Source organism: Homo sapiens, chromosome 2 (genome assembly GCF_000001405.40).
Source record: "Homo sapiens chromosome 2, GRCh38.p14 Primary Assembly".
Taxonomy (NCBI): Eukaryota; Metazoa; Chordata; class Mammalia; order Primates; family Hominidae; genus Homo; species Homo sapiens.
Window position 1 is genome coordinate 121777711 of NC_000002.12, and position 24174 is coordinate 121801884.

The window sequence follows — 24174 nt, forward strand, 5'->3', positions numbered from 1 at the left end:
GGAAAAACTGGCTAGAGAAGCATTTCTCTAAGCCCCATGTTTATATAGGCATACCTCTGAGATAATTTTGGGCTCAGTTCCAGACAACTACAATAAAGCAAATATCAGAATACAATGAGTCACATGAATTTCTTGGTTTCCCAGTGCATATAAAAGGTATGTTTAGGGCTGGGTGCAATGGCTCACACCTGTAATCCCAGCACTTGGGAGGCTGAGGTGGGAGGATTGCCGGAGACCAGAACTTTGAGACCAGCCTGGGCAACATAGCAAGACCCTGTCTTTACAAAAAAATGAAAAAATTAGCTGGGCATGGTGGCACACATTTATAGTCCTAGCTGTTAGTCCAAATTTCACCATTTTGTAAGCTCCCTGCTATTTTACAGACTTTGGTTAAAGCAAAACATTTTACAGGGGTTTGGGCCATGAGAAACATTCTGCCTAACCACCTGACCACAAGGCGGACAAAGGCCGTATTAAAGAAACATCCCTATCATATCTTGGTGGGCAAAGATCCAAGGAACATCACGATGACAGCCCACCGGAACAAGGGCCAGAACCACCTCATCACGGGAACATCTTTTCAATATCCTGCCAGGCAGCAAGCCACGCTGCTCAGACCCCTCCCGCCCATAGCTATAAGTACCCCCAGCATATAAGCAGTTGTGGGCACTGGCATTAGGATGGTTCCCCACTTCTGTAGGTTTTATGCTGGACATAAGCCTGCATTTGCTGTCGAGCTGCCCTCTCTGTGTGGGTGTCCCTTACCTTCCCTGCAAAACCTAACACTAGCTCCTTGGGAGACTGAGGCTGGAGGATCGTTTGAGCCCAGGAATTTGAGGTTATAGTGAGCTCTGACTGTGCCACTGCACTCCAGCTTAGGAGAAAGAGTGAGACCCTGTCGCTAAAGAACAAAGCAAAGCAAAACTCAATATCTACAAAGCGCCATAAAATGAAGTATGCCTGTACCAAGAGCTCGGAAGCTGAACTCCAGGAAGAGACGTTGAATTCTCAGCTTTGCTGTGAATTGTGGTTCCTGAGCCCCAGGGGCTGTGCTAGACATAGCCTTCAGGTTTACTTACCTGTTTTCTCCATTCTGCTCTGTCTCCTTAGAGGATGACATCAAAGGGCTGAACTAGTTTCCAGCTTCTGGATGTATCTGGCCAATGAGAAGGGAGGAAAGTAAGACTGGGATGACTTTGTCTGTTAACCCAGGATCATAGCTCCTGCCTGGGGACTTTGTCCTCACAGTTCTCTTCCTCTGTTCAGCTTCTTATAACCACACCCTTCTCTCAGCCAGGGTGACAACAGCACTGCCCTATTATTAGGTAAGGGGCACGACATTAGCCCTCATGTTTTCTTCAAACACTATCCATCCCTTTATAGATTATCCTTTTATTAAACTCTCCTCAAATTACCCAGTTTGAATGTGCCACTGATTTCCTTTTGGGGTTCTGACCGATAATAATGCACGTTCATTGACAACCACACCACCACCCATTGACTATCCAATGTGAGAGGAGGCCCCGAAGCAAAACCAGTAAGAGGAATGCATTCCGATAAGCTAACAGATGTTTACTGCATGAACCAGGTGCAGCTGCTCTTCCATCGTTATTGGCATGCTCTACTATGAGTCCGTAGGTCAGGTGCTGGGGAATGGATGGTATGTGTTCCCTGGGGGATGGGGTGGGAGGAGGTGGTTGGCTTATCTCTAGTGTTTTTACAAAAATCCTTTCTCCCTACAAATTTTAAAGGCTATGGAAGTTCATTAGTAAGTTGAAAAAAAAAAGGAACCCATGAGAAATTTAAAAAAATACTTACTTGTACCACCCAGAGGAAACTACTATTAAAATTTTGGTTTACAGTCTTCCATTTTTTTTTCTATTTCACTATAAAGAGTAATATTGATATTCGATACAAAATTTCTAGTTTTTCATTATGACAAATAATAGTGTGATAAACATCTTGGTATGCAGTCATTGATTGCATTTCTGAGGTTATTTCCTTTTGAAGATTTCTAGAACTCATATATTTCCTTTTTTTTTTTTTTTTTTTTGAGATGGAGTCTGGCTCTGTCACCCAGGCTGGAGTACAGTGGCATGATCTTGGCTCACTGCAACCTCTGCCTCCCAGGTTCAAGTGATTCTCCTGCCTCAGCCTCCCAAGTAGCTGGGATTACAGGGATGCACCAACATGCTTGGCTAATTTTTGTATTTTTAATGGAGACAGGGTTTTGCTACATTGGCCAGGCTGGTCTTGAACTCCTGACCTCAGGTGATCCACCCACGTCAGCTTCCCAAAGTGCTGGGATTACAGGTGTGAGCCACTGTGGCTGGCCGAACTCATATATTTGAATTAAGGGTGTCTTAGTCAGCTTGGGGTGCCATAACAAAATACCATAGACTAGGTGACTTAAACAATAGAAATTTATTTCTCACAGTTTTGGAGGCTGGAAAGTCCAAGATCAAGGTTCTGACTGATTTGGTTTCCGGTAAGGGCTCACTCCCTGGCTTGCAGATGGCTGCCTTCTCACTGTGTCTTCACATGACACAGATAGGGCTCTGATATCTCTTCCTCTTCTATAAGGGCACCATCTCTATCCGATTGAGACCCCACACTTATGACCTCATTTAACTGTCATAACCTCCTCATAGGCCCAATCTCCAAATACAGTCACATTGGTGGTTAGGGCTTCAACATAGAAATGTTAGAGGGTCATGATTCTGTCCCTAACAAAGGATATAAATATTTTAAAGACTAGATACATAATTTCAAATTGCTTTCCAGAAAAGCCATCCCAGTTTATGCTACCACCAGCTATATGTAAAAGTGGCTGTCTCGAAAACCAAACACCACATGTTCTCACTCATAAGTGGGAATTGAACAATGAGAACACTTGGACACAGGGTGGGGAACATCACACACTGGGGCCTGTCGTGGTGTGGGGGAGGGGGGAAGGATAGCATTAGGAGATATACCTAACGTAGATGACGAGTTAATGGGTGCAGCACACCAACACGGCACGTGTATACATATATAACAAACCTGCACTTTGTGCACATGTACTCTAGAACTTAAAGTATAATTTAAAAAAAGAAAAAAAAGTGGCTGTCTCACCACGCTGCCACTAGCATAGCTTATTATGAGTTAGAAAATTTGTTTACTTTTACCAATGTATCTTTTTACTATTTTATTGTTTATTCTTTCCTTAATACCAATATCTCAAAATACTCACTATAACCTGGGTGTGGTGGCTTACGCCTGTAATCCCAGCACTTTGCTAGGCTGATGTGGAAGGATTACTTGAACCCAGCAGCTGAGACCAGCCCGGACAACATAGCAAGATGCTGTCACTACAAAAAGTTAAAAAATTAGCTAAGCATGGTGGCGTGCACCTGTAGATCCAGCTACTCAAGAAGCTGAGTTGGGATTGCTTGAGATCGAGAGGTCGAGGCTGCAGAGAGCTATGATGGTGTACTGCGCTCCAGCCTGGGTGACAGTGAGATCATCTCTTGCTCTCAAAAAAAGAAAATTTACTACTAATATTTTTGTGGTTCTAAATTTTCCAAAAACTAGAATTATAGTCTACATTCTGCTTGTAATTTGCATCTTTTAAATTTAGAAATATAAGATGAATTTCACTTTTATTATATTTTCTTTGCATCCACTTCATTATTTAAAATTTATCATTGCTTAAAACAATTACATCAGTAGTAATGTTTATTATAAAAATTTGATTCACCTCTTTATGTGGCAAGTTTCTGAAATCACATATGGGGCAAGAGTATCGTGTCCCTCTTTGGAAAATGCCATCTGCCATAGCTTCCTTGAGTGCAGGGATTCTCGAGGGGCTCTGGAAACTCCTATCTGTGGACTTGTTTCAAGAGACATTGGTTCCTGTGGGCACCAGGCTTCTACCCTAGCACGGTTCCTGTTCCTGCGCCATGTTGGGTCTCCCTGGGGAGAGGACAGCTCCTGGGGTGGCCTTAGGGCTGCTTCATGGCAAAGTCCAATGTATCATTCTTATGCCTTTGCGTCCTTATAGCCAAGGAAGGGGAGTGCCTGGTGCTGCCGGTGGGCCAGCTGTGGTTCCTGCCCTATGGCCTTCCCAGAGGCTCTCATTTCCGGTGTGGCTCACGGTCAGCTTGCGAGTCTGAATGTTTAGTAGCATCTGAAAAGAACCACAGTAGAGGCTGCACCCTGAAATATAGTCTGTACAGGAAAGGCAGATAATTACTTGATTCTTTCCTTTTAATTATCAGTTTCCAGAATGATGAATTGGTGCCCTAGCAACCCCCAAAAGTGACCAGTGAGGGTTTCCTTTTCCTTCTCACACGTAAAAAAGCAGCCTTATTGAGGTATAATCTTTTTCCTCTTGTTATATATATAAATTTTATTTTATTCTATTATTTTTTAAAATTTCAATAGGTTTTTGGGGAATAGGTATTATTTGGTTACCTGAATAAGTTCTTTAGTGGTGATTTCTAAGATTTTGGTGTACCCACGACCTGAGGAGCGTGCACTGTGGCCAATTTGTAGTCTTTTATCCCTCACCAGCCCCCGATCTTTCTCCCGAGTTCCCAAAGTCCGATGTATCATTCTTATGCCTCTGCATCCTCATAGCTTAGCTCCCACATATGAGGGAACAAACTATGTTGGTTTTCCATTCCTGAGTTACTTCACTTATAATAATAGTCTCCAATTCTATCCAGGTTGCTGCAAATGCCATTATTTCATTCCTTTTTATGGCTGAGTAGTATTCCATGGTATATATATATATACCACAATTTCTTTATCCACTCATTGATTGATGGGCATTTGGGCTGGTTCCATATTTTTGCAATTGCAAATTGTGCTGCTATAAACATGCGTGTGCAAGTATCTTTTTCATATAATGACTTCTTTTCCTCTGGGTAGATACCTAGTAGGGGGATTGCTGGATCAAATGGTAGATCTACTTTTAGTTCTCTAAGGAATCCTTATCGAGGCATCATTTAAATAAAATAAAATTCACCAATTTTAAGCATACAATTTTGGTGAGTTTTAAATATAATCAGGTAACTGCCACCACTATCAAGACATAGAACATTTCTACCAACTCTAAAAGTTCCTTCATGCCCTCCCTGAATCCAGGCTCCTGGCAACTATTTATCTGCCTTATCACTACAATTTTGCCTTCTCTAGAATTTCATATAAATGGACTAGTATGTAGACTTTTGTCTGGTTTCTTTCACCTAGCATAATGCTTTCATATTCTTTATTTATTTACTTTTTTGGTAGAGATGAGGTCTTGCTGTGTTGCCCAGGTAGGTCTCAAACTCCTGGCGTCAAGTGATCCTCCCACTTCAGCCTCCCAAAGTGCTGGGATTACAGGTGTGAGCCTCTGCGCCCAGCCTGCTTTTGAAATTCATCGATGTTTGTGTATAGTGGTAGTTTATTCCTTTTCTTTTTCTCCACTGCAGGAAATGGAGTTTGTTCCTTTTCTGTTGCTGAGCAGATTCATGTGTATGGATGTACCACAGTTCATTCATCCACTCACTAGCAGATGGATATTTGGGTTGTCTCCAGCTTTTTGATATCATGAATAGAGCTGCTATAAACATTCCCGTACAGGTGTTTGTGTGGATGTGTTTTTATTTCTCTTGGGTAAATAACCACGAATGAGATTGCTGACTCATGATAAGCATATAGTTAACTTTGTAAGATACTGTCAAAATGTTTTCTAAAGTGCTTATGTTTTGATTCTTACTGATCAATTAGTAACATATGCCTGTAAAAGTACACAGATCTCAAGTATATAGCTAGGTACAATTTAAATACTCAAAAAATTAAAAATAGATTACCATATGATCTAGTAATTCCACATCACTGCATATGTCTAAAATAATTGAAAGTAGGGTCTTGAGAGATATTTGAACACCCATGCTCATAGCAGCATCATTCACAATAGCCAAAAAGTGGAAGCAACCCAAGCGTCCATTGATGGATGAATGAATAAACAAAATGTGGTGTATACACACAGTGGGTTATTATTCAGCCTTAAAAAGGAAGAAATTCTGACACATGCTGCAACATGGATGAACCTGGAGGACATTATGCTTGAAATCAACCAGACTCAAAAGGACAAATACTGTTCATGATTCCACTTATAAAAGGCACCTAGAGTAGTCAAATTTGTAGTAGAATAGTGGTTGCTGAGGACTGGGGAAGGAGAAGAATGAGGAGTTACTGTTTAACGGGTGTGGAGCTTGTTTTGCAAGATGAAAAGAATTCTGTAAATTGGTTGAACAGCAATGGGAATATACTTAACACTACTGAACTGTACACTTAGAAATGCTTAAGATGATAAATATAAAAAAGATAAAAATGACAAATAAAATGATAAACATAAAAAAGAAATCATAGAAAAAATAATATATGTGCCTGTGTAACTGCCTCCAGATAAGATACCAGCACCCTAGAAGCTTCTTGTCTATTCCTAGCCACTGCTCTGCTCATCCTAAAAGTAACCCCTATGCTGACTTCTCTCATGATGCATGAGTTTTGTCTGTTTGTGAACTTAAATAAAACGCAACAATTTCTGTAACATTTTGACATAACTTGGGAGTGTCTGATAGTTTTCTTACTTTTAGACACAAGATACTCTAGACTCAGTATTCATTTTCCACTGCAGAACTGGAGTGGCCATGTCTCAAAGGTGTCTTGGTTCCCTTTAGGGGAAAACGGTATTTAGAGACCACATTATGGGCACAAGGGGTTACTAGTTGCTACTGGGTTATCACTGCTGCTGGCCTTTTCAGTGGTCACTGCTTTGACAATTTATTTATTTGTTTATTTATTTTTCAGACAGGATCGTGCTCTGTTACCCAGGCTGGAGTGCAGTGGCAGGATCATAGCTCACTGCAACCTCTAACTCGGGCTCAAGCGATCCTCCTGCCTCAGTCCCCTGAATAACTGGGACTACAAGCATGTGCTGCCTCGCCTGACTAATTTTTTAAAACATTTTTTGTGGAGATAAAATTTCACTATGTTGCCTATTCTGGTCTCAAACTCAAGTGATCCTCCTTCCTTGGCCTCCCAAAATGTTGAGATTACAGGCATGAATCACTGCACCCAGCCCATACTTTTTATTTTTTCATTATTTTTTTATTTTTTGAGACAGAGTCTCACTCTAGTCACCCAGGCTGGAGTGCAATGGCACGATCTTGGCTCACTGCAACCTCTACCTCCCGGGTTCAAGTGATTCTCCTGCCTCAGCCTCCCGAGTAGCTGGGATTACAGGTGCCCGACACCACATCAGGCTAATTTTTGTATTTTTAGTAGAAGTGGGGTTTCACCAATGTTGGCCAGGCTGGTCTCAAACTCCTGACCTCAGGTGATCTGCCCGCCTTGGTCTCCCAAAGTGCTGGGATTGCAGGCGTGAGCCACCATGCCCGGCCCCATACTTTTTAAAATAGAAAAATAATTCATGAATTTATTCTGATATTTCCAATCCAATTTACAGATGATAGCATTTTAACTTTTTTGCATTTTATGTGAATTTTATGTTTGACTCTCTTTTTTCTACCCTAAACATTTTTGTGCTTGATGATATTACCATAATTTCTTACATGCCTTCTCTCATTTTCTATATTTATATCCATATCTCTTGCTCTGCAGTAATTTCAAAATACTCATTTCAGGCTGGGCTCAGTGGCTCACGCCTGTGATCTTGGCACTTTGGGAGGCTGAGACGGGAGAATTGCCTGAGTCCAGGAGCTTGAGACCAGCCTGGACATCATGGGGAGATCCCATCTCTACAAAAATAAAATAAAATAAAAATTAAAAAAACCCAAAATACTGATTCCAATGATGTTGTTAACATTAAGTCTACTGAATGTGGTTTAAGATTTCTTTATGGTTCTTTTTTGTCCTTAGGATGTATTTGTATTTGTCCTTAGGGAGGTACTATTAATAGTCACCTGAGATAATTTTTATGCCATAAACTTGATATACTATGAAGCTCATTAGTTTCAGCTTGAGTTCGATTTTTAGGAATGGCTTTGTTTTTGCTTTTAATCTAACTTTATACAAGGTACCTTCAAAGATGCCTACATTTTATCCTTGCCTCCTCCACTCTGTTTTTTCTATTTCCCTAGAGTCATGGGTTTCAAACTGTGTGCCAAGGTACCCCAGGGCACCATTTTGATCTCAAAGAGGCATCTTTGCTGGAAAATGGGTTAGAGCAAAGAGAGGTAGGCAGAGGAAACTGTAGCCAAGCTCACGCTGCAGCAACAATCTGGGTGGGAAGCAAATTTGGATGCTGCACAGCTAAGAGAGTACCAACATGCCCTACTCAGACAAGCAGTCTCTCTTCAACTCTAGCCCCTCCCTGCACTGCATTCTTGCCCTTGTTCTTTTCCTCCTTCTTTAGGATTGGGTGCGACTCATTTCTGAAGTCTTGCTTGGGACAAAATTCCCAGCACTCTTGGGATAGGATTGGGATAACGTTCCCAGGTTGAAGCATTCTGTAGCTGAGACTTGAATTGTACAGCATCTTAGAGATAAGGAAACAGGTTCTCAGCCGTGCCCTGCACTGGGACCTGAGCCCACAGCAGTCCTGGTCCAAAGCCGATGCTCCTTCCATTTGCTGTGCTGCTGCCGCGGTCTCTATTTTCAAGGAATTCGCTGTCTGATCAGGGCGGTAAGGTGCAATGTAGGACACCAGCAATACAGGGGTGCGTAAGGGAAATAGCAGGGATGGGCTAAGAAACGGTGAGTGTAGTAGGTCTGAGCAGCCTGGGGTCAGCCACACTGTGGGTGCATCACCCCATTCTAGCTCCTACCGTCCACAGTCAGCCTTGCCTTTGAGTCCTTATCAAGTAAGCTTGGAGAAACATCGACACATCAGCTAACCTCTCTGGCTGAAAAAAGAATATGAGAAAAGATGAAATGGTAAGGATAAAGAATAATCTTATTTTTCTCTAGAAATGTATCAGGTAGAAAGAGAAAGCCTCAGGCCGGGTGTGGTGACTCACACCTGTAATCCCAGCACTCTGGGAGGCTGAGGCAGGAGGATCGCTTGAGCCCAGGAGTTTGAGACCAGCCTGGGCAACATAGTGGGACCCTGTCTCTGAAAAAAAATAAAAATAAAAAATAAATAAATAAATAAAAGAAGAAGGAGAAAAGAAGGTGAACATCTCTTACAATTCTACTCTCCAGAAATAAGTGCTTGCATCAGTTTGACTATATTCTTCCTTATTTATTCTATAGATATGACTAAAGAAAACATTTAATTATGAAAAATTTTAAACTCTGGAACAATTGGCTTTTATAGTGAACACCTATAAACCCACCATCTAGATTTTACCATTAACATTTTACTCTACTTGTCTTATCATATGTTTGTCTTCTTGCTATACTTTTTTTTTTTTGAGACAGGGTCTCACTCTGTCGCCCAGGCTGGAGTGCAGTGGTGTGATCTCAGCTCACTGCAGCCTTCTCCTCCTGGGTTTCGGCAATTCTCCTGCCTCTGCCACTCAAGTAGCTAGGATTACAGGTACAGGCCACCACACCTGGCTAATTTTTGTATTTTTAGTAGAGACGAGGTTTTGCCATGTTTTCCAGGCTGATCTTGAAGTTCTGAGCTCAAGTGATCCACCCACCTCAGCCGCCCAAAGTGCTGAGATCACAGGCATGAGCCACCGCACCCAGCGATTTACTTTTTCAAAAGAAAAACTTCACATGCTCTCCTGGAGTCTAAGACAAGATTGATCTATCTATCTGCCTGTCTATCTCTATCTATAGATATATATGCACACACACACGTACATACATAGGTACACACACGTATAAATACAGTCAAGCCTCATTATTCACAGATTCTGTATTTGTGAATTCACCTACTTGTTAAAATTTACTAGTAACTCCAAAAGTAATCTTCATGGTCATTCCCAGACATGCTCAGAGTGGTAAAAAACTGAGTTCTCCAATGTGCACATTTCCAGATGAGGTGAACAAGGGGATACTCTGCCTTCTTGGTTCAGCTCCCACACTGTAAGCAAGTGTCCATTTTGTGGTCTATTTAGTGCTACTTTTTTAACACTTAAAAATTTTAAATTTAACTTTTTTTTTTTTTGAGACAGAGTTTTTGCTTTGTTGCTCAGGCTGGAGTGCAGTGGCATGATCTTGGCTCACTGCAACCTCTGCCTCCTGGATTCAAGTGATTCTCCTGCCTCAGCCTCCCGAGTAGCTAGGGTTATAGGCGCTCGCCACCATGCCCAGCTGCTTTTTTTTTTTTTTTTTTTTTCTGAGACGGATTTTCGCTCTTGTTGCCCCGGCTGGCTTGCAATGGCATGATCTCGGCTCACTGCAACCTCTGCCGCCTGGATGCAAGTGATTCTCCTGCCTCAGTCTCCGGAGTAGCTGGGATTACAGGCATGCACCACCATACCTGGCTAATTTTTTTTTATTTTTAGTAGAGATGGAGTTTCTCCATGTTGGTCAGGCTGGTCTTGAACTCTCGGTCTCAGGTGATCTGCCCGTCTCGGCCTCCCAAAATGCTGGAATTACAGGCGTGAGCCACAGTGCCCGGCCTAATTTTAGTATTTTTAGTAGAGACTGGGTTTCACGATGTTGGCCAGGCTGGTCTCGAACTCTTAGCCTCAGGTAATCCACCCGCCTCAGCCCCCCAAACTGTTAGGATTACAGGCGTGAGCCACCACGTCCAGCCTTAACTTGTTTTTGGAGATGGGGTCTCACACAGTCACCCAGGCTGGAGTGCTGTGTCATGTATGATCATAGTTCACTGCAGCCTTGAACTCCTGGGCTCAAGTGATCCTCCCTCCTCAGTCTCCTGAGTAGCTGGGAGTACAGGTGTGTGCCACCACATGTAGCTAACACTTTTTACATTTGTATGCTTTTTTGGGGGGGATTTCACTGGTTAAAATGGCCCCCAAGAATAGTGCTCAATTGCTGTCTAGTGTTTCTAAGTGCAAGAAGGCTGTTATGTGCCTTACGTGTATTAGAAGATATGTGTATTAGACAAGCTTCACTTAGTCATGCATTACAGTGCTATTGGCTGTAATTTTAATGTTAATGAATCAATAACATGTAATAAATGAGGTGTCTTTAAAGAGAACACTCATAAAAAAAGGTTATGTATTGATTGGTTGATGAAAATCTTGTGAGCAGAGGCTTGCAGGAACCTAACCCTGTATTTCCCATAGGAGCCATAGTTCAGTATTTGTAATTCAGTGCTTGTAATGACTTTATAGAACATAACTACCAGGAATAATGAGAATTGAGTGTATATGTATATGTGTGTTTTCCCATGTGCAGCACTGTCATCTAATCTGGTTGGATTGTAAATTAGTGTAATTTGGAAAGCAGTGTATTGAGTATCTGAAAAATGCACAGTATTTGAATCTAATTACTTATTTCCTGAGATTATAGCCTGAAGGAATAATCCTAAATACTGAAAAACTTTAACTACAAAGATGTTCATTGTAGTGCCAAATAGATTACAGTATATCTACATAATGGAAAATAATAAAGTATTTATCAAGATTTTATCATAAGATTGAAAATCACTTATGATATAGTGTCATGTGGAAAACCAGGATATGCAGTTCTGTGTACGATGTGATAACTCCTTCACATTGCAGGTGTTTCCCAAATGCCATCAGCCTGCAGGGTGGGTAGGGGGCAATGAACACCTGCAGTGCCTTCCTCCCTTCTCGCCACCCCTCACCAGCACCTCCTTGGAAGTCTCTTCCTCTGGTCATGGAGGGAGGCTAGTCTTAGCCACTGCACTCTTTCCCATTAGTCTACAAGGGCTATGGTTGAAAGAAATGACCCACAATCCACGTCTACTCAGCTCCTTGAGGATCTCATCCCCAAAGCTGTGGAAGATTTCTTGTCCCTGTTTACTTCCACCCCCTGCCATACTGGTTGCAATAGGAACTGTGACAGGAGCAGGGCACTGCTGGGGCGGAGGGGGTCCTTGTCACCTGCTGGGCTGGTTGCAGCAGGTCTGGATTCTTTTCCCCAGCCCCACCACTATGTAGAGAGCACGCGATGCTCGGCAGAACCACGGTGCTGCCTCCCCTCCCCTCCCCTCCCGTCCTCTCCCCTCTCCCCTCCCCTCCCTTCCCCTCCTCTCTCCTCACCTCTCCTCTCCTCCCCTTCTTGTACCATCCTGCAGTCAGCTGCCATTTCTCTACTCCTTCATCTGGCTCTCTAGGCCACCAGCAGCAGAAGCTCCCAAGATGACCAATACTGTTTCTTGCTGGGAAGAAGGTGGTCTTTCCTTACATATGTGAAAAAGTGTAGGCATGGAACGAAGGCCAGAAGGAAAACTCGAAAGTGTTAACAGTGATGACGCTCAGATAGTAAGGCTGCGATGTACCTTATAGAGAAAATATGTGTGTTAAATAAGGCAGGTGACCTTTTCTTCCTTCTATTTTCCTGTAGTTTTCAATTTTTCTGTAATGAGCATTTATGGCCTTTATAATTGGAGGAAAGAAAGAACAGGGGCTCAGAGAGGTTAGTTAATTAGGCCAAGGGGGCACTTGCTGTATATTCACAGATAGGTAGTTGGGGCTGGGGGACAAGGGTTGTTTTCTGGAACCCGAAGCCCAGGGAGGGAGGATGCTTAGTGATAATTTTTATTGATCTTCTTGCTCACACTCTTGACCCTCCCTGGAAGAGAAATGTGGGTGAGGTCACTGTAGCATTGTCATCGCTCTGGGTTCCACCCACACTCAGGGTGAGAGGGAGATTCTGAAGCTTTGTGTTTCTTGCTAGCTAGTCAAAGGTGACTAATTCATGTGGTATGTACTGTGGATGGGACTGGCTATGTAGTTGTAAGTGCCCAGTGCAAAATGAAAATGTGGGGGGTCCCTGTATGTTCAAAAACTACTAAGAATTTCAAGACGGTGGCAGCAGAAATTTAAGTAAAGCACAGGGTCTTTCTATATGTGGGGTCTTGTGGGACCGTCCAGGTTTCTTTCCTGTGAAGCTGGCCCTGCCTGTGGACACTTCCACTGGACACCTGTAAGCCAAGCCCAGGGAAGGGATGGAAAGGGAGGCTTAGTAGTCAGTAACAGATGGAAGGCATGGGCCTGCAGGAGAGCAGTAGAGGAGAGAGATCCTCACTGGCAGCCCCATCTCCATGGCGAGTCTGGAATCCAGAATGATTCCTATTTGAGACATTAAAGAGTTAGGAGATGCAACTTCTGTTCTCTGTACTGTGCAAACATGAATGAATCTCTCCTGTCTTCTCCTTTCCTCCCCTCTCCTTCCTTCCTCTCCCCTCCTCTCCCTTCCCCGCCTCTTCTCATCTCAGTTTCCTTATTTCCACAATGAGGGGGATGGAGTTGATTTGTAGAGTCTCTGCCAGCTCTAAAAAAATTCGTGATTTGGACTTTCTGTGCTCATGTAGCCCGTGTGACAGGAGCTACAAATATGTTCCATGAGGTCCTGAGTTGACCAGCTTCTTTCAAGACGTAGGTCAGGGCAGTCACATAGAAGTATCATGGTGACCTTGGGGATGGTGACAGTGGCTAAAAGACGTTGAGAGAGACAGTGCAAGAGAGGAAAGCATCTTCACCCTGGACCCTAATATGGAGACACCTTTGACTAGCTAGCAAGAAAGATAAAACTTAAAATCTCCCTCTCTTCTGTCGAATGTGGGCGGAACACAGTGATTCTGAAGCTGCGGAGAGTGGGAAGCCATCCCCAGGGAAATGTAAACACCAAGAGCAGGTTGTGTTGGAGGAAGCAACCCTTAGCATTACAATTGCAGAAAGTACTTGGTATGTCAGGTGAATTTTTGTATTACAATGTTGGCAGAGATTTCCTGTAAATTTCTGGCAAGTAACAATATGGACCCTGATTTTAAAGGAAGCAACAGCCCTGTATAGAAGACATGAAAAAAGAACAGAATGGGATGGTCAGTTTAGAGTTTTTACTGGTTCCTTAGGTGGAAGGGCTGAAAATTAATATCAGGATCCTGCTATACGTTTAGTTTGTACATATCGATACTCAGTTTCACGCACTTCCCATTTTGTAGTGGGAGTTCAGTTATTCATAAGTTGTTTTGTTGTCTTCACAATGTCCTGTGCTGATGAGCTCTTCCAGGCATTGTTCTAGAGGTGTATTCAGAGCAGCTGGTCGAGATTCTGTTTTGCAGAGGGACAGGGTTATGGGTGTGACACGTTGAATTTGCAAATCAAATTTATGAGATGCTTTGATGACGTTTTATGTGAAGATAAAGCAAAAGAAAAGCCTCATGCTGTGGTGCAGAGAAACATAAGAAGAGTGATTTATGTGAGGAAATGGAAATTTGCAGGGCAGTTTTGCTTGGCTATGTCAATACATTTTTTCATCAGTATTTGGAATTTCGTATAAAAGAATTTGCATTTATGGCCAGGTGCGGTGGCTCACGCCTGTAACCTCAGCTCTTTGGAAGGCCAAGATCAGAGGATGGCTTGAGGCCAGGAATTTGAGACTAATCTGGGCAACATAGTGAGAACCTGTCTCTATAAAAAAATAAAAACACAAAAAAACTAACCGTGTGTGGTGGTGTGTATCTATAGTTCCAGCTACTCGGGAGGTTGAAGCGGGAAGATCACTTAAGCCCAGGAGTTGGAGGCTGCAGTGAGCTATGATCCTACCACTACAGTCTAGCCTGGGTGACAGAGCAAGACACTGTCTCAAAAGAAAAAAAAAAAGAATTTGTGTTCGTAATACTTTTAAATTTTCTTTTTTTGAAAAGTAAGGTTTTTTTTTTTTTGTCCGCTTGGCCAGTCCAAAGGTCCTTTTCATTGTCATTGGGTGGGCCAGTTTTTCTCCTCCCATCTTCTATGATGCATGTATGTTTTGGGTCAATGATCCTCTGGTGATCTCTTTTCCTTAGGTTTAATGTAACTTTTCCTCTTGCATGCCAGTTTCATGTTTTCTCACAGAAGTACTGGGAAAGGATCTTCATATTTAACTTTATTTATTTATTTATTTATTTTTGAGACAGTCTTGCTCTGTTGCCCAGGCTGGAGTGCAGTGGCGTCATCTTGGCTCACTGCAACCTCCGCCTCCTGGGTTCAAGTGATTCTTGTGCCTCAGCATCCTGAGTAGCTGGGACTACAGGTGTGCATCACCACACCCGGCTAAGTTTGGTATTTTTTGGCAGAGACAGGGTTTCACCATGTTGGCCAGGCTGGTCTTGAACTCTTGACCTCAAGTGATCAGCCTGCCTTGGTCTCCCAAAGTTCTGGGATTACAGGCATGAGCCACTGAACCTGGCTTTTATACTTAACTTAAAAATTGTTTTTATTTATTTACTTTTGAGACGGTGGTCTCACGAGGTTGCCCAGGCTGGTCTCAAACTCCTGGGCTCAAGCGATTCTCCTGCCTTGGCCTCCAAAGTGCCAAGATTAAAGGTGTGAGCCACCCCGCCCAGTCCATATTTAACGTTTGACCCAAATTTTTCTCTTTCCTTTAGGATAGAAAAATAATACATGCCAAAAGAAATTTGAGGAACAAATTCAGGTAAGTCTGGTGGTTCTGACACCACTGTGGAATTAAAAGATCACTAAACATAGCCTAAGATTTAAGGCCTGCTGGTGGAGGGAAGACAGATATTTTCATCTTTTTTAGGTCCTGAAGTTCAAAGAATGCATTAGTATTGTTTGTAATTGAAAGCATTTCTGAGATAGTAGAAGCCACAGACTCACAGCTCTGGAAAGGAATTTTAACAGGTTATCCTGTTCAGACAAGACACCAGCATCTTCATTTACTTTGTCAGAAAATCAAGGCTCACATAAGCTAGGTGGTATATACACAGGCGCCCATGAAGAAAGTGGGTCTGCTTTGTTGAAGGTTATTTAGATGAGGCCGATAGACTGCAAAGATGGCACAAGTGATCTATCCCTGGATGCACATTCTGTTTCTTCCATCAGTGGCCAGGGGGTCAGGGGACTGTTTCCTCTCCTCTTGACTGGGCAGGCTCTGTGACATCTTTTGACTGGATGTCACAGTCTTGGAGTGACACAGTGGACTTCTTGGCCCAGACCTTCAGAGGCCTTGCAGCTTCTATTTTGGCCATCTTTTTAATTATATTTTTATTTATTTTATTTGTTTTGAGACATGATTTCACTCTACCACCCGGGCTGGAATGCAGTGGCAGAAATCATAGCTCACTGCAGCCTTGACCTCCTGGGCTCAAACAATCCTCCCACCTCAGCTACCTGAGTAGCTGGGACTGTAGGCACATGCCACCACACCCACCTAATTTTTGTATCTTTTGTATCTCATCATGTTGCCCAGGCTGGTCTCTAACTGCTGGGATCAAGAGATCTGCCCGCCCCCGCCTTCTGAAGTGCTGGGATTATAGATGTGAGCCACTGTTCCTGGCCTGGGTCACTTTGAGGTCCAGTTGCTGTGTCAAGAAGCTAAGCCCAGTCAACCCACAGAATCATAAGAAATAATAAATCATTGTTTTACACCACCAAATTATGGTGTAGTTTGTTATGCAGCCATAGCTAACCAAAAGTTATGGTCAACTATCATTTGGAAACATAGGCATTTTGGGGTTACTTCTCTATGTAATCCTGCTGAAGTTTCTGTCAGTTAGAGGAGTCACCTCTAATAATAGTGGTGATAGTAGCAGTGATAATAACAATGAACGTCGTGACACAAAGAGTTAGGACTTGGCAGGTATGGAGTTTGTAGTGAGATGAAGATCATGAAAATAAATGACATCACACTTTTGTAAACGATGAATCCCACACCTATGTTATTTATTTCCTCAGCCCTGAGACAGGTCACGGAAACAGCCCTCCAGTCTTCCTCAAGAAATGTAGACTGAATCAGCATTTACCCACCCCTGGAAAAACGCAGGAGCTGCGCATTCCTGGGATCTCAGCAGGGCTTTTGGGAAGAGCAGAACTGGGCTGGAGTCACGGTTTCTGGGCTGACTCTAGATTTTCCCCGGCTTTTGCCACCTGTGATGGCTGGAGAGTATCTGAAGATGACAGGTGACTCCAGGACCTAGGGCTCCCTCCTTAGGAGCAGGGTGGGGTACCAGGTTGCACACAGGTGATGATGGGGGGGGGGGTGGGCTGTCCAGCACACAGCTTGGTGAGCAGGATTTGAGATACTCACCCCACTTTCTGGTGATACAGACCCCCTACTCCCAGTGACACAAGATGGTTGGACCCACGGCTGATTTACTGCTTTACTCCCATTCTTTATGGGGCCAGCTTTAATGAGCACCCAAGCAGAAATGCCTTTGACTCCTGCACTGTGAATAACTGTTATTAATAAAAGGGCAAGCTGCTTGCCATGGAACCTTGCATATTTCCATATTAATAATGACATAAACTCCCCCAAAATGACGTCTCAGCCACTCAAAATGCAGAGGCTCGCTTCTGTGCACTCAGGGGCTGAGGATGGGGCTAGTGAGCTCCAGAAGGAGCAACGCAGTGGGCCATGCCTGGGAGCCCAGGCCCTGGGTCCTCACTCTCCCCGTGCCCAGCTCCCTTCTCTCCCATGTGTGTCCCCATGGCGTCTACCTCTAGGGAGCAAGTAGCCAATTCCATGGGGTGACTGGAGGAGGGTCAGGAAGTTCTGTCTGCTTTCAGATATCTTCCACATGAGTCTGCCAATTTGTCTGAGATTCCATCATTTAAAAACTCAATTAACCTGAGTCCTCAAGTTACTCCAAACTCCTGGATTCCTATATGAAAAGGCAAATACCTTAGGGACAGAGTGTAGAGATTTCATCAGTTTTCAATAATAGGCTGTTAGCAATTAATGTCATTGATTCACGTGACATATTTGCTGAGCCTCTACTGTGTTCTAGGAGCTGGGAATATGGTAGTGAAAAAAACACACACAAAATCCATGCCCTCCGGAAGCTTCAAATGGAGGGAGATAAATGGTAAACAAATAAATATGTGAAATGTGCAGCACGTCGGACGGTGAGAAACATGACATTAAATAAAGTGGGGAGGAGAACGGGGAGTAGCTACACTGGGGAATTCGTGGAGTCATTTCCCACAGGGCAGTTGGCCAAGAGCAGATCCTTGGAAGATTCTCTTCGGGGACAGAGGTGTCTGGGAGAGGGCGAATTTGTGGCCACTCCTCCACATAGAGTGGCTTCCTCTCCCCTAGGTCAGGTTCCAGGGGAAGAGAGATCTCAGAAAGAAATCATGTCTCTCTAGGCCGGGCATGATGGCTCCTGCCTGTAATCCCAGCACTTTGGGAGGCCGAGGCAGGCAGATCACCTGAGGTCAGGAGTTCAAGACCAGCCTGGCCAACATGGTGAAACCCCATCTCTACTAAAAAAAAAAAAATACGAAAATTAGCAGGGCGTGGTGGCAGGTGCCTATAATCCCAGCTAATCGGGAGGCTGAGGCAGGAGAATCACTTAAACCTGGGAGGCGGAGGTTGCAGTGAGCTGAGCTTGCGCCATTGCACTCCAGCCTGGGGGACAAGAGCAAGACTTCGTCTCAAAAAAAAAAAAAGAAATCATGTCTCTCTTCTCTTTCCAGCCAGTGTCCTTAGCTTGTGAAGATTGGATGATGGCCGGGGCCCTCAGACCCCTTGGCCCCTCCTTAACTGCAGGTCTTCAAAAGCCCAACACCTGTTCGTCATTTCTGTGGCTTCCCAGGGAGTCTTACTCTTCTGCTTCAAGCTGCTGGGTTTGACTCTGAGCAGTTTCTGTGCAGCCACAAAGATTCTTATGTGAGACACACTGCTGCTTCAGAGTGCTCCAACCCATCTCCCCTGATTAAACACTAACCAGGGCTGCCACAGCAAAGTGGCTCAAATGGGTGACGTCAACAACAGATTTACTTTCTCATAGTTCTGGAGGCAGGTGTCTAGGATCAAGGTGGTGGCAAGGCTATTCCTTCTGTTGCCTCCCTCCTTGCCTTGTGGATGACCGTCTTCTCCGCGTCTTTCCAAGATCTCTCCTCTGTGCATGTCAGTGTCCTTGCTTCCTCTTCTTATGAAGACACCGGTCATGTTGGGTAAGTGCCTGCCTATGTGACCTTTTTAACTGAGTTATCTTTATAAAGACTGTCTCTAAACATAGTCCTATTCTGAGGTACTGGGTGTTAGGATTTCAACACATAAATTTTGGGGGGACACAGCTCAGCTCATACGATGAGCAACTTGCCCTTTGCAGAAGGTCCATGTGGGAGAGGAGGAGGGGCTTACTCCACACTCTCCATGGCAACTACTGAGTCTCTGGGTATTTGGTTCTTTCACAGTCCCGTCTTGGCCCTTCCACCAGCAGGCTTTTCCTTTTTCAGTTTTAGATTGCTGATCTTTGTCCATCGTCATCCAGCCTCACTCACTCTTCTTCTTCCTGGTTCCCCAGAGGCTATTGCTGGCCTCCTCTTCTCCTTTTGTCTTTGCCTCTGGAAACTCCTGATTATGAGCGGGAGCTTCCCCCTTCTTCTAATGGAGAGGTGTCGGTTGCCACCCAGAGCACAAGGTTGGCTTCCTCCCCAAATAATGACCCCAGAGCTTTCCCATACCTCAGCACTCTTCCTGGGGACTTCTCATGCCTGCCACTGGAGTGGCAACTTCTTCACCAGCTTAGCTGTGGAAGGCACAGCTGGTGGACACCTGATTTCATCTGGGAAGCAATGACCCAGTTAAAAATGCTCATCTTGGCCGGGCACGATGGCTCACGCCTGTAATCTTAGCACTTTGGGAGGCCGAGGCAGGCAGATCACAAGGTCAGGAGTTCGAGACCGGCTTGGCCAACATGATGAAACCCTGTCCCTACTAAAAATGCAAAAATTAGCTGACTGTGGTGGCGCGTGCCTTTAATCCCAGCTATTTAGGAGGCTGAGGCAGGAGAATCACTTGGGAGGCGGAAGTTGCAGTGAGCTGAGATCGAGCCACTGCATTCCAGCCAGGGCGACAGAGCAAGACTCCTTCTCAAAATAATAAATAAATAAATAAATAAATAAATAAATAAAAATGCTCATCTTAAGGCCAGGTGTGGTGGCTCACACCTGTAATCCCAGCACTTTGGGAGGCCAAGGCAGGCAGCTCACAAGGTCAAGAGATCGAGACCATCCTGGCCAACATGGTGAAACCCAATCTCTACTAAAAATGCAAAAATTAGCCAGGCGTGGTTGCAGGAGCCTGTAGTCCCAGCTACTTGGGAGACTGAGGTGGGAGGATCACTTGAACCCAGGAGGTGGAGGTTGCCGTGAGCTGAGAGACTGTGCCACTGCACTCCAGCCTGAGCGACAAAGCGAGACTCTGTCTTAAAAAAAAAAAAAGCTCGTCTTCCAGGACTCCCTTGCAGGAGAGGGCGGCCATGTGACACCATTCTGGCTAATAAAGTGGGAGTGGAAGTCACCAGGTAGTACCCTGGGAGAACTTGGAAAAGGGACACATGTTCTCTAGCACAACCACTGGCCCTTTGCCATCTGCATCCTCCAGCCTGGGATGAGAATGCAGCAGCCGCCGTCCATGACCTGCATGTTGACAACCAAATGTTAAGGCTGACAGGGAAGGAAAAGAGAAGGAAGGGGGTCCTTGGTAACATCTTTGAGCACTAGCCCTAGGCAACTACTTCTAGGTGTCTTGTTACATGAGACAAATGATTCCTAACTTGTTAAGGTAGATTTTTTTTTTTTGAGGCATTCAACTAAATGCAGTCCTGACTAATACACTTTTGGGATTGGGTATTTGTGGTTCAGTGGAGCAAGAATCAGCTACAGAGGCAGGAAGAAAAAGTCTGGTAGATGGCCTGGGATTAGGTCCTAATTCAAATTTTCACCTCAGGATAGTTCCAGGGCTTTGGTGCATGTGTATCCTCTCCTTGGCTGGTGGCTTTCACTTTTCTCTCTCCCTTCCCCAGAGCTCATGGTTGCAATGTGCCCGCTTATCGGAGTCTTCCTGGCCTTGAATGTCCTCTTCTCAGCATCCAGGAATGTCCAGACATTCATCCAACAACCAGTCTGGGCTAATGAGTCAGGCATGGTGCCTGGTGTGTAGTTAGCACTCAACACATAGACCTTAATTGAGTTAACAAATAGGAGATGATGATGGGAGCTATTGCTAGGTAACATGCACATATTTATCATGCATTTGCTTATTCATCAATTTAAAGGAAAGTTTGTTTTCTTTCATTGTAAGAAACAGCATTAGCTGTCCTTTTACTGTGTGTTAGATGCCGTGTTATGTGCTTTGCTTTAATTTTTGCTTATCTTCAGAAGAAGTCTGCAGGGTAGATATTGTGCCCATTTTATAGATGAAGAAAATAAGATTTAGAAGGCCAAAGGCACAAACACAGTAAATGGTGAAGCAAACATTCAAATGCTCTGAAGTTAACGCTTTTTTCAATATAGTATAGTAAATATACCATGCTGCAGTTCATAAAATTAATGCATGCTTATTAGAGCATAAATATTTATATACATATATGTATACATGGAATATATAGATCATATGTGTATAGTTTCTATAGAAATTATAGCAAAATAGAAAAAACAGCTTAATCTCTCCACATAGTTCAGCTTCTACCCGTATATTTCAGATGATTGAAGTCAAACTACAGGAGCAAATTGTTTGTACACTTGCTATGTACCAGGAATTGTCACAAGTTTGGTTTTTATTCACCTATCACTTAGCATGAGCATCTTTCATTGTCCATGCACTTTAATGCATTGATCAAATGCATTAATCAATCAATGATTAATGCATCAATCCAAACTCCTGCCTTTGTGTCTGGTCATTGATGGCATGCATTTTCACTTGCTGCAGGAGAACACTGGGGGCCACGGGCTTTGGGCATCTTAGAAGCCTCAATAGAAGAAGCACGATCTCAGCTCACTGCAGCCTCTGCCTTCTGGGTTCAAGTGATTCTCCTGCCTCAGCCTCCCAAGTAACTGGGAACTATAGGTGTGTGCCACCACGCCCGGCTAATTTTTGTGTTTTTAGTAGAGACGGGGTTTCACCGTGTTGGCCAGGTTTGTCTCAAATGCCTGATCTCAGGTGATCCACCTGCTTCGGCCTCCCAAAGTGTTGGGATTACAGGTGTGAGCCACTGTGCCCAGCCTAGGAATAACTTTATGACCTTGGGATAGGCAATTATTTCTTTGATATGATAACAAAAACACAATCCATAAAAAAAAGTAGGTAAACTGGACTTCATCAAAATTAAAAACTTTTGTGCTTCAAAGTAGAGTATAAAGAAAGTGAAAAGACACCCTGCAGAATGAGACAAAATATTTGCAAATTACATATCTGATGAGATCAGGTGCATTCAGGATGGTATGGCCATAGACTGCAAATTGCATATCTAATAATATATAGTCTCCAGAAGATATAAAAAATTCTTACAAGGCAACAACAAAAACACAAGTAACCAATTAAAAAGTAGGCAACAAATCTAAACAGATATTCCTCCAAAGAGTGACCAATAAGGACATGAAAAGATGCTTGCATTATTAGCTATCAGGGAAATGCAGATCAAAACCACAATGAGATATCACTTCACACCTGCTAGGATGGCTACAATAAAAAAGACTGATAATAAGTGTTGGCAAGAATGTGGGGAAACTGGAGCCGTCATACACGGCTAATGGGAATGTAAAATGGCATAGCTACTTTGCAAAAACAGTATGGCAGTTGTTCAAATGATTAGACATAGAATTAGACATCCATCTATAATTGATGAATGGGTAAACAATATGGGGTATCAATTCTATTCACCTATAAAAATGAATGAAGAATTGATAAATGCTGCAACATGGATGAACCTTGAAAAGATTATGTCAAATGAAAGAACCCAGCCACAAAAGGCTACAAACTATATGATTTCACTGATATGAAATGTCCAGAATGGGTGGCTCTTTAGAGATAGAAAAGAGATTAGTGGTTGCCTGGGGTTGAGGGCCATGGAGAGGAACTGGGGGTGATGGCTATGGGGCGCTGGGTTTCTTTTGGGTTAATAAACATGTTCTATTATTGATTGCGGTGAACTTTGCGAATGTGCTAAAAGCCATTGAATTGTACACTTTCAATGGGAGAATTGTATGTGATGTGAATTATATCAATAAAACTGTTAAATAAAGAAAAAAAATGAAATGTCAGCGAAGAGTCTGTATGCATGACCCAGGAAAGACTGGCTGACCTTCACCTTGTGACTCCACAGGCCCTGTTAGGAGGCTACTTGGAACACATCAGTGTTTGAATTTGTTCCTGTGTCTGTGTTTAGGGAGGCCCCTACTTTCTCCCGTCGCAAGGTGGCTTCCCCGCTCAGGGTGTTCAAGCTGCTCTGCTGTCTGCATGAGTATCTTCCTCCATAGGTTGTCCTGGAAGACTGGTTAGGGACCTTGGGGCTTGAAGAATGACATGGTGGTGAATTCTCTGGGTTTTCTTTTTTTATATTATTTTAGTATACTTTAAGTTCTGGGATACATGTGCAGATCTTGCAGGTTTATTACATAGGTATACACGTGCCATGGTGGTTTGCTGCACCCATCAACCCGTCATCTACATTAGGTATTTCTCTTAATGCTATCCCTCCCCTAACCGCCCACCCCCCGACAGGCCCTGGTGTGTGATGTTCCCCTCCCTGTGTCCATGGGTTCCATTGTTCAACTCCCACTTATGAGTAAGAACATGCAGTGTTTGGTTTTCTGTTCCTGTGTTGCTCTGGGTTTTCTTTTTGCCTCCCTCATATTCCAGATGGGAAGCTGGGGGAAGTGTCAACCTGAAACCATTAACAGGCACAGAAAAAAAGAAAAAGCCCCAAGAAAAGCCTGTTTATTCTAGCCAAAGGACCAAGAAATGGCCATCCAAGAAGACAATACCCACCCAATTCCAGCCAAACACAGAAAGAAAAACTGCTCCCTATGCCCACCCAGGCCCCATGGTGTTGGTGGGGCTGAGTGGGGAGCTGCATTTCGGGCCCCACCTGGAGTCAGTGAAATTACACCTGAACCTGGTGGCGATGAGGTGATGAGTGTATGTGCTTGGCTTCTGCTGGTGTCAGTGGGCCCCAGCCGGGAGCTGAATGTCCACTCTCACTTTGGCCTTCATGCTCTTTCTAAATAGGGTGACTACCTACAGAAAAGAAAGAAAAAAGGTTAAGTGAGATCTAGAGTCTTAACGCACAATGTCCTTCTAAGGAATGTGGTTTTGCCAAGAACCAGGAAAATC

The 24174-nt window shown here is 43.7% G+C and overlaps 2 long non-coding RNA genes across 4 annotated transcripts in view, besides 1 other annotated feature; one reads left to right on the forward strand and one right to left on the reverse strand.

The window, feature by feature from the left end:
- LOC105373590 (uncharacterized) lies at positions 1–12654 on the reverse strand. The gene is made up of 3 exons (XR_923272.2): positions 12147–12654; positions 1080–1156; positions 1–87 (listed from the first exon to the last, which is right to left on the reverse strand). It is a non-coding gene; the product is annotated as an uncharacterized LOC105373590 (long non-coding RNA).
- Positions 12435–13096: an enhancer, noted in NCBI's record as "H3K27ac-H3K4me1 hESC enhancer chr2:122547721-122548382 (GRCh37/hg19 assembly coordinates)". NCBI's record gives its function as "activates a minimal SCP1, AML or CMV promoter by ChIP-STARR-seq in primed H9 embryonic stem cells {active_cell/tissue: H9 hESC(primed)}" and the evidence as "EXISTENCE:reporter gene assay evidence [ECO:0000049][PMID:30033119]".
- LINC01823 (long intergenic non-protein coding RNA 1823) overlaps positions 12693–24174 on the forward strand; it is a 19556-nt gene continuing 8074 nt past the window's right edge. The window contains exons 1-4 of one of the 3 annotated variants that reach the window (NR_183364.1): positions 12693–12809; positions 15479–15525; positions 16788–17012; positions 18531–19010. This is a non-coding gene — a long non-coding RNA (long intergenic non-protein coding RNA 1823). Of the gene's footprint in view, positions 12810–15478; positions 15526–16787; positions 17013–17159; positions 17331–18530; positions 19011–24174 lie in introns of those variants that run through there. The other 2 variants (NR_183363.1, NR_183365.1) reach the window with 2 other exon arrangements.